At 40.1% G+C, this 11,046-nt stretch overlaps 1 pseudogene across 1 annotated transcript in view; it reads left to right on the forward strand.

The window, feature by feature from the left end:
• LOC105379443 (methylenetetrahydrofolate dehydrogenase (NADP+ dependent) 1 like pseudogene) overlaps nt 1-8,974 on the forward strand; it is a 42,107-nt pseudogene extending 33,133 nt beyond the window's left edge. The window contains exon 4 of the transcript NR_160670.1: nt 8,613-8,974. The product of NR_160670.1 is annotated as a methylenetetrahydrofolate dehydrogenase (NADP+ dependent) 1 like pseudogene, transcript variant 1 (transcript). The remainder of the gene's footprint in view (nt 1-8,612) is intronic.
• The last annotated feature ends 2,072 nt before the right edge of the window (nt 8,975-11,046 follow it).

Raw genomic sequence — 11,046 nt, forward strand, 5'->3', positions numbered from 1 at the left:
TAGAACCTTTCTTTTGATTGAGCAGTTTGGAAACACTCTTTTTGTAGAATCTGCAAGTGGACATATGGAGAACTTTGTGGCCTATAGTGGAAAAGGAAATATCTTCACATAAAAACTAGACAGAAGAATTCTGAGAAACTTCTTTGTGATGTATGCATTCATCTCATAGCCTTGAGCATTTCTTCTGATTGAGCAGCTTTGAAACACTCTTTTTGTAGAATCTGCATGTGGACATTTGGAGCGCTTTGAGGCCTATAGTGGAAAAGGAAATATCTTCATATAAAAACTATACAGAAACATTCTTACAAACTTCTTAGTGATGTGTGCATTCATCTCATAGAGTTGAACCTTTCTGTTCATTGAGCAGTTTTGAAAAACTCTTTTTGTGGAATGTGCAATTGTACATTTGAAGCGATTTGAGGCCTATGGTTGAAAAGGAAATATGTTCACATAAAAACTAGACAGAAGCATTCTGACCAATTACTTTGTGATGTGTGCATTCATCTAACAGAGTTGAACCTTTCTTTTGGTTGAGTAGTTTGGAAATTCTCTTTTTGTAGGATCTGCAAGAGCACATTAGGAGTGCTTTGGGGCCTAAGGTGGAAAAGGTAATATCTTCACTTAAGAAGTAGACAGAAGCATTCTGAGTAACTTCTTTGTGATGTGTGCATTCATCTCACAGAGTTGAACCTTTCTTTTGATTGAGTAGCTTAGAAACTCTCTTTTTGTAGAATCTGCAAGTGGACATTTGGAGCGCATTTGGGCCTATGGTGGAAAAGGAAATATCTTCATTTAAGAAGTAGACGGAAGCATTCTGTGAAACTGCTTTGTGATGTGTGCATTCCTCTCACAGAGCTGAAACTTTATTTTAATTGAGCGGTTTTGAAAAACTCTTTTTCTAGAAATTGCAAGTGGACATTTGGAGTGCTTTGCAGCCGACGGTGGAAAAGGAAATATCTTCACATACAAACTAGACAAAAGCATTCTGACAAGCTTATTTGTGATGGGTGCATTCATCTCAAAGAGTTGAACCTTACTTTCGATTGAGCAGTTTTGAAACACTCTTTTTGTAGAATCTGCAAGTGGACATTTGGAGAGCTTTGAGGCCTGTGGTGGAAAAGGAAATATCTTCACACAAAACTAGACAGAAGCATTCTGAGAAACTTATATGTAATATATGCAATCATCTCACAGAATTTCAACTTTCTTTTGATTGAGCAACTTTGAAACACTCTTTTTGTAGTATCTGCAAGTGGACATTTTTGGCGCTTTGAGGCAATGGTGGAAAAGGAAATAGCTTCACATAAAAACTATACAGAAACATTCTGAAAAACTTCACTGAGATGTGTGGATTCATCTCACAGAGTTGAACCTTTCTTTTGATTGAACAGTTTTGAAAGACTCTTTTTGTAGAATGTGAATTTGGACATTTGGTGCGCTTTGCAGCCTATGGTAGAAAAGGAAATATCTTCACATAAAAACTAGACAGAAGCATTCTGACAAACTTCTTTGTGATTTGTGCATTCATCTCACAGAGTTGAACCTTTCTTTTGATTGAGCGGCTTTGAAACACTCTTTTTGTAGAATCTGCATGTGGACATTTGGAGCTCTTTGAGGCCTATGGTGGAAAACGAAATACCTTCACATAAAAACTATACAGAAACATTCTGATAAACTTCTTTGTTATGTGTGCATTCTTCTCACAGATTTGAACCTTTCTTTCCATTGAGCAGTTTTGAAAAACTCTTTTTGTGGAATCTGCAATTGTACATTTGAAGCGCTTTGAAGCCTATGGCTTAAAAGGAAATATGTTCACATAAAAACTAGACAGAATCATTCATAGAAAATCCTTTGTGTTGTGTGCATTCATCTCACCGGGTTGAACATTTCTTTTGATTGAGCAGGTTTAAACACTCTTTTTGTAGAATCTGCAAGTGCACATTAGGAGCCCTTTGAGTCCTGTGGTGGAATAGGAAATATCTTCATTTAAGAACTAGACAGAAGCATTCAGAGAAACTTCTTTGTGATGTGTGCGTTCATCTCACAGAGTTGAAACTTTCTTTTCATTGAGCAGTTTTGAAACAATCTTTTTGTAGAATCTGCAAGTAGACATTTGGAGCGCTTTGCAGCCTATGGTGGAAAAGGAAACATCTATACATGAAAACTAGACAGAAGCATTCTGACAAACTTCTTTGTGATGTGTGCTTTCATATCACAGAGTTGAACATTTCTTTTGCTTGAGCAGTTTGGAAACACTCTTTTTATAGAACCCGCATGTGGACATTTGGAGTGCTTTGAGGCCTACGGTGGAAAAGGAAACATCTTCATATGAAAACTAGACAGAAGCATTCTGACAGACTTTTTTTGATGTGAGAATTCACCTCACAGAGTTGAACCCTACCTTCGATTGAGCAGTTTTGAAACACTCTTTTTGTAGGATTTGCAATTGGACATTTGGAGTGCTTTGAGGACTATGGTGGAAAAGGAAATATCTGCACATAAACACTAGACAGAATTATTCTGAGAATATTATTTGTGATGTGTGCATTCATCTCACAGAGGTGAACCTTTCTTTTGATTGAGCAGTTTTGAAACACTATTTTTGTGGGATCTGTAAGTGGACATTTGGAGCGTTTTGACGCCTATGCTGGAAAAGGAAATATCTTCACATAAAAACTGGACAGAAGCATTCTGAGAAATTTCTTTGTGATGTGAGCATTCATCTCACAGAGTTGAAGCTTTCTTTTGATTGAACAGCTTTGAAACACTCTTTTTGTAGAATCTGCATGTGGAAATTTGGAGCATTTTGAGGCCTATTGTTGAAAAGGTAATATCTTCACATAATAACTAGACCCAAGCATTCTGAGAATCTTCTTTGTGATATGTGCATTTATCTCACAGCGTTGAAATTTTCTTTTGATAGAGTGGTTTGGAAACTCTTTTTGTAGAATCTGCAAGGGGACATTTGGAGAGCTTTGAGTCCTGTGTTGGAAAAGGAAATATCTACACTTAAGAACCTGACAGAAGAATTCTGAGAAACTTCTTTGTGAAATGTGCATTCATCTCACGGAGTTGAACCTTTCTTTTGATTGAGCAGTTTTGAAACACTCTTTCTGCAGGATCTGCAAGTGGACATTTGCAGCCCTTTGGGGCCTATGGTGGAAAAGGAAATATCTTCATATAAAGACTAGACAGAAGCATTCTGGCAAATTTCTTTGTGATGTGTGCATTCATCTCACTGAGGTGAACCTTTTTTTGATTGAGTAGTTTGGAAACTCTCTTTTTGTGGAATCCGGAAGTGGACATTTGGAGTGCTTTGGGACCAATGGTGGAAAAGGAAATATCTTCACTTAAGAACTAGACAGAAGCATTCTCAGAAACTTCTTTGTGATGTGTGCATTCATCTCACAGAGTTGAACCTTTCTTTTGATTGAGCAGTTTTGAAACACTCTTTTCGTAGAATCTGCAAGCGGACATTTGGAGCGCTTTGAGGCCTATGGTGGAAAAGGAAATATCTTCACATAAAAACTAGACAGAAACATTCTGAAAAACCTCTTTGTGATGTGTGCATTCATCTCACAGGGTTGAAACTTACTTTCGATTGAGCAATTTTTAAACACTCTTTTTGTAGTGTCTAGAATTGGACATTTGGAGTATTTAGAGTCCTATGGAGGAAAAGGAAATATCTTCATATAAAAACTAGAGAGAAGTGTTTTGAGAAACTCTTTGTGATGTGTGCATGCATTCATCTCACAGATTTGAACCTTTCTTTTGATTCAGCAGCTTTGAAACACTCTTTTTGTAGCATCTAGAATTGGACATTTGGAGCGCTTAGAGTCCTATGGTGGAAAAGGAAATATATTCACGTAAAAACTAGACAGAATCATTCAGAGAAAATTCTTTGTGATGTGTGCATTCATCTCACAGAGTTAAACCGTTATTTTGATGGAGCAGTTTGGAAAAACTTTTTTTGTACGATCTGGATGTTTACATTTGGAGCGTTTTGAGGCCTATGGTGTAAAAGGAAATATCTTCAAATAAAAACTAGACAGAAGCATTCTGAGAAACTTCTTTGTGATGGGTGCATTCATCTCACAGAGTTGAACATTTCTTTTGATTCAGCAGCTTTGAAACACTCTTTTTGTAGAATATGCAAGAGGACATTTGGAGTGCTTTGAGGCCAATGGTGGAAAAGGAAATATCTTCACATAAAAACTAGACAGAAGCATTCTGAGAAACTTCTTTGTGACGTGTGCATTCATCTCAGAGTGTTGAACCTTTCTTTTGATTGAGCAGCTTTGAAACACTCTTTTTTTAGAATCTGCATGTGCAGATTTGGAGCGCTTTGAGGCCAATGGTGGAAAAGGAAATATCTTCACATAAAAATGATTCAGAAATATTCTGAGAAACTTCTTCCTGATGTGTGCATTCATGTCACAGAGTTGAACCTTTATTTCATTGAGCAGTTTTTATTTATTTATTTATTATTATTATACTTTAAGTTTTAGGGTACATGAGCACAATGTGCAGGTTAGTTACATATGTATACATGTGCCATGCTGGTGCACTGCACCCACTAACTCGTCATCTAGCATTAGGAATATCTCCCAATGCTATCCCTCCCCCCTCCCCCCACCCCACAACAGTCCCCAGAGTGTGATGTTCCCCTTCCTGTGTCCATGTGTTCTCATTGTTCAATTCCCACCTATGAGTGAGAATATGCGGTGTTTGGTTTTTTGTTCTTGCGATAGTTTGCTGAGAATGATGATTTCCAATTTCATCCATGTCCCTACAAAGGACATGAACTCATCATTTTTTATGGCTGCATAGTATTCCATGGTGTAAATGTGCCACATTTTCTGAATCCAGTCTATCATTGTTGGACATTTGGGTTGGTTCCAAGTCTTTGCTATTGTGAATAATGCCGCAATAAACATACGTGTGCATGTGTCTTTATAGCGGCATGATTTATAGTCCTTTGGGTATATACCCAGTAATGGGATGGCTGGGTCAAATGGTATTTCTAGTTCTAGATCCCTGAGGAATTGCCACACTGACTTCCACAGTGGTTGAACTAGTTTACAGTCCCACAAACAGTGTAAAAGTGTTCCTATTTCTCCACATCCTCTCCAGCACGTGTTGTTTCCTGACTTTTTAATGATTGCCATTCTAACTGGTGTGAGATGGTATCTCATTGTGGTTTTGATTTGCATTTATCTGATGGCCAGTGATGGTGAGCATTTTTTCATGTGGTTTTTGGCTGCATAAATGTCTTCTTTTGAGAAATGTCTGTTCATGTCCTTAAAAATCAATGTACAAACATCACAAGCATTCTTATACACCAACAACAGACAAACAGAGAGCCAAATCATGAGTGAACTCCCATTCACAATTGCTTCAAAGAGAATAAAATACCTAGGAATCCAACTTACAAGGGATGTGAAGGACCTCTTCAAGGAGGTGCTACAAACCACTGCTCAAGGAAATAAAAGAGGATACAAACAAATGGAAGAACATTCCATGCTCTTGGGTAGGAAGAATCAATATCGTGAAAATGGCCATACTGCCCAAGGTAATTTACACATTCAATGCCATACCCATCAAGCTACCAATGACTTTCTTCACACAATTGGAAAAAAATACTTTAAAGTTCATATGGAACCAAAAAAGAGCCCGCATCGCCAAGTCAATCCTAAGCCAAAAGAACAACGCTGGAGGCATCACACTACCTGACTTCAAACTATACTAGAAGGTTATAGTAACCAAAACAGCATGGTACTGGTACCAAAACAGATATATAGATCAATGGAACAGAACAGAGCCCTCAGAAATAACGCCACATATCTACAACTATCTGATCTTTGACAAACCTGAGAAAAACAAGAAATGGGGAAAGGATTCCCTATTTAATAAATGGTTCTGGGAAAACTGGCTAGCCATATGTACAAAGCTGAAACTGGATCCCTTCCTTACACCTTACACAAAAATCAATTCAAGATGGATTAAAGACTTAAACTTTTGACTTAAAAGCATAAAAACCCTAGAAGAAAACCGAGTCATTACCATTCAGAACATAGGCATGGGCAAGGACTTCATGTCTAAAACACCAAAAGCAATGGCAACAAAAGCCAACATTGACAAATAGGATCTAATTAAACTAAAGGGCTTCTGCACAGCAAAAGAAACTATCATCAGAGTGAACAGGCAACCAACAAAATGGGAGAAAACTTTCACAAGCTACTCATCTGACAAAGGGCTAATATCCAGAATCTACAATGAACTCAAACAAATTTACAAGAAAAGAACAAACAACCCCATCAAAAAGTGGGTGAAGGACATGAACAGACATTGAGCAGTTTTGAAAAGCTCTTTTTGTAATATCTGCAAGTGGACATTTGGAGCGCTTTTTGGCCTATGGTGGAAAAGGAAGTATCTTCATTTAAGAACTAGATGGAAGCATTCTGTGAAACTGCTTTGTGATGTGTGCATTCCTCTCACAGAGCTGAAACTTTATTTTAATTTAGCAGTTTTGAGAACTCTCATTTTGTAGAATCTGCAAGTGGACATTTGGAGCACTTTGCGGCCTATGGTGGAGAAGGAAATATCTTCACATTAAAACTAGGCAGAAGCATTCTGACAAGCTTATTTGTCATTTATCTCATGGAGTTGCCATTTATCTCATGGAGTTGAACTTAACTTTCGATAGAGCAGTTTTGAAACACTCCTTTTGTAGAATCTGCAAGTGGACATTTGGAGAGCTTTGAGGCCTGTGGTGGAAAAGGAAATATCTTCACACAAAACTAGACAGAAGCAATCTGACAAAGTTTTTGTGATGTGTGCATTCATCTCGCAGAGTGGAACCTTAATTTCGATTGAGCAGTTTTGAAACACTCCTTTTGTAGAATCTGTAAGTGGACATTTGGAGCGCTTTGAGGCCTAAGGTGAAAAAGGAAATATCTTCCCATAAAAACTAGACAGAAGCATTCTCAGAAACTTGTTTACGATGTGTGTACTCAACTAACAGAGTTGAAACTTTCTTTTGATAGAGCAAAACAGTAAATTGAAGTTTAAAATAATTGTAACAATTGCATCTTATATATCAGGTGAGATTTCATAGTTTGGTTCAAGTAGTTTTCAAGTGACAAATTTTCAAGTTTTTAAGTTTTCAAGAGTTGTGCAAGTTCATCAGCCAGAAATCAAGCAAAAGGCTAGATAAGTAGCAGCAGGTGCAGGATTCTTGATATTGAAACTTTTAGGACTTTTCTCCTTCAGGATTCCAATGTTGTACATTTTATTTCCAGTATAACCCCTATGCATGGGATAAAGTAGTTTCACATGTTTGATTTTTCTAATTAGTTATTTGGGTTTCAAAATGTCCAGTTTATCAAAAAATCTTGTGCTGTGTACTGGGGACCATCTACTATAGCCTGATCATTGAATTTTTCAAGAACCTAAGGGGTTCCCTAAGTCCAAGGAAGACAATCAGTGTCTACAAGTCAGGAGGAGAAGGGGAAAGGGCATTCTAATCATTGCTTTGTTTTCATTGATTCTGTTGCTGCTTTCTTGCCATTGAAACTACTCTTGCAGTCTGGTAATGATTAACCTTTGCCACCAGGATGCCCTTTCTGTTTGAGATCCCTCAATCTTCATGTTGATCCATAAAAAGGCTTCAAAGTTACAACTATTTTTTTTAGTTCCCAGACTAACAAAAATAATCTAGCTTTTTGTCTTGACTACCAACCACTCTGGATTTTTTTTTTTTTTTTTTGAGATGGAGTCTCGCCCTGTCACCCAGGCTAGAGTGCAGTGGCGTGATCTTGGCTCACATAACCTCCACCTCCCAGGTTCAAGCAATTCTCTTATCTCAGCCTCCGAAGTATCTGGGACTATAGGCACACACCACCACGCCCGGCTAATTTTTGTATTTTCAGTAGAGATGGGGTTTCACCATGTTGGTCATGCTGCTCTTGAACTCCTGACCTCAGGTGATCCATCTGCCTTGGCCTCCCAAAGTGCTAGGATTACAGGCATGAGCCACCATGCCCGGCCCACTCTGGATTTAAGGACAGTTCTTCCTTCAATCAGCAGCCAAAGAGTCCTGATTCCTGATTCTAATTAAGAAGTTTAACTTGGTATTCTATTTCTGATGGAAGGATGGCTGAAAGAAGGGAGACTCAAACAACAGATGAAGGCAAAATACTCTGTACTGAATTTTCAATGTAATCTTAAATTCTATGTTTAATTGAGATGACCCAAATTCTTTTTTTTTTTTTTTTTTGATACGCAGTCTCGCTCTGTTGCCCAGGCTAAAGTGCAGTGGCATGATCTCGGCTCACTGCAACCTCCACCTCCCGGGTTCACACCATTCTCCTGCCTCAGCCTCCCAAGTAGCAGGGACTACAGGCACCCGCCACCACACCTGGCTAACTTTTTGTATTTTTAGTGGAGACAGAGATGACCCAAATTCTTAACTGCCTCATAAATACTGTTAATATATTGAAAGTTTTGCCCTAGGCTTTTATTAAAGTCAACTATATAGAAAAAGTTTCTCCTATCTTGAGATGTATTATTAAAGACATCATCCCCAATAATATTCCATATTCTCTGTTTAGGAACCCCAATTGTTTTCAAATTCAAGAATTCAGAGAAATCTACTTGTTACAAAAGAGTAGAATGGATAATGGGCACCACATCCTGAAGTGTATTTTAATAAAAATTCATGTAAGATGGTTCAAAATTTCATTAACTACTTTATATAAAAAGAAATGCCTGGGAGAATTCTGTTTCTAGCAGAGTGGCAGACTGATGCCTTGAACAACCCTCCTATTACAAAACTGAATACTCCACATGAAAACAAATCTTTTCAAATGCATTGTTAAGCTGTGAAGAGAATAACGAAAGTTCTAAGAAACCAAAATCTAAATGAAAACACAAGTCCAGGCAGGCACTGAAAACCTAAAAAAAAAAAAAAAAACTGAAGAGGCCAATTGTTGGCAACCATGTGGAACAGCAGGAACTCTTCAAGCTGCTGCTGGTGGCGGAGGCCAAGCCACTGTGCTCCCAGAACACAACACAGAAGCCTCCACACTGAAGCAGAGCACAGGTGCCCTGGAGTCTCCACCCCACCCAGGGATCCTCCAGCAGAAGTGGGTGTGCCCCTGCATACCTGCAAGTCCCATATGCAGACCTACTGTTCAGGGCCGTGGGATAACAGCCAAAAATAGGAAATCATTTTACTCATCAATGGAAAAATGGTGACACAGTCATATAATGGAACTCAACAATGACGATAAATCAATGTCTGCCATAGACAAGAACATGGATGTGTTCTGTAATACTGAACCAAAGAAGCCAGGCTAAATAGAATGTGCTGTATTTTATAGAAGTCAAAACCAGGCAGAACAAATCTACATCAGGAACTGGGAAAGTAGCTATTTTGTGGGTTGGGGCAGCAGTGCCTGGGAGAGGCCACAGGTCAAGGCTACTGCTTGGTCCAGGGCGTGGCAGCCTGGTGTGCTACAGTTCATCTAGATGCACACTTATGATTCGGGCACTCTTCTGTATGTACATTAACATTTCAATAAAAAGCTTATTAAAACATTAAAGCTTTCAGAAAAATCCACATTGCTTCAGTAGAAATTAGCACATTAACGTTTAAAAAATACATGTATATGGTGGGGGAAAAAAACAGTTCAAAAGAGTATCCAGTGAAAAGTTTAAGAGGGAGTGATGCCAGCTAAGGGCTGATCAATAGCCCCTTGCACTCATCCCCTGACAAAGACAGCCAAAGCAGCAAACAGCTATATTTTGATGAAAGTCACTAAAGGAGAGCCCCAGAGTGCATCAAGGAGTAGCAGAAATCCAGTAGAGCCCGGAAAACAGGACGGTCACATAAAGGAGGGAAGGAAACATCTGGCACCCACCACCCATTCCCCCAGAGGGATCAGCCTGAAGCAGAGGGGATGTCTCCCTGCAGGAATAAGGAAGCAAGAGGGGCCCAGTAGCCCCAGCACTCCCCTCAGAGAAGGAACTGACATTGTGCCCCACCCCCATGGACCAGCTGCTGCTGCAACGTGCCCTCCTGGACCTGGACCACTTCGGGAGCATGTCCCACCCAGGGTGAGCAGCCACCGCACCCTTCTTCCATCCTCAGGCTTTGTTGCTCTATATCACACCCACCTAGTGGCCCACCACCCCCGAGCCGCTGTTACACTGTCTTAGGCCATTTAGTGTGGCTGTAACAGAATACTTGAGACTCGGGGTAACTTATTTTATAAAAAAGGTTTATTTGGCTCACCCTGCTTGTGTCTAAAAAGTCCGAGATCGGGCAGCACAACTGGTGAGGGTCTTGTGCTGCTTCATCTCATGGGGAAAGTGGAAGGCGAAACAGGTGTATGCAAGGGGCTCACATGGCAAGAGAGGAAACACAAGAGTCTAGGAAGCTGAACTCACTCTGATAACAATCCACTCCTGGTAACTAATCCAGTCCCATGAAAAGGCATTAATCTATTCATAAAGGATCTGCCCTGTGACTCAAATAACTCCCACTAGGCCCCACCTCCCACACCACCACATTTGAAATCAAATTTCAAATGGATGAAATTTCAAATGGCTGGTGGGAACAAATGATGTCCACATCACAGCATACACCCCACCTGCGGGGCCACGCTGCTGTGCCCCTCCCCTCCCAGCTGCCATTGCTCCCTGCCCCTTGGAGCCTGAGCTGACTTGGTGCCCTGCTTTCCAGGGAATCAGTGTCTTGGCCAGTCTAAGCAGTCACACCCCCCACTGCATGAGAGCTGAAGCACTGCCCTGCTTCACAGGGAATCAGTGTCTTGGCTGAGCTGAGCAGCCACACCTGCCAGGGATGAGCCAACATGGCACCCCCATATCCCAGGAAAACGGCATTGGCTGAACTGGGGTACCTTGCCCTTCAGGACAAACAACTGTAGAACCCTGCTTCCTTGGAACTGGACTAGCCCTGGAGAATCTGAGTTGCCCAGGCACCTGCCTCCCCAGGGAGAGAAGTAGTTGCTGTACTGGTCC

Source organism: Homo sapiens, chromosome 9, assembly GCF_000001405.40.
Source record: "Homo sapiens chromosome 9, GRCh38.p14 Primary Assembly".
In the NCBI taxonomy this organism is placed as follows: domain Eukaryota; kingdom Metazoa; phylum Chordata; class Mammalia; order Primates; family Hominidae; genus Homo; species Homo sapiens.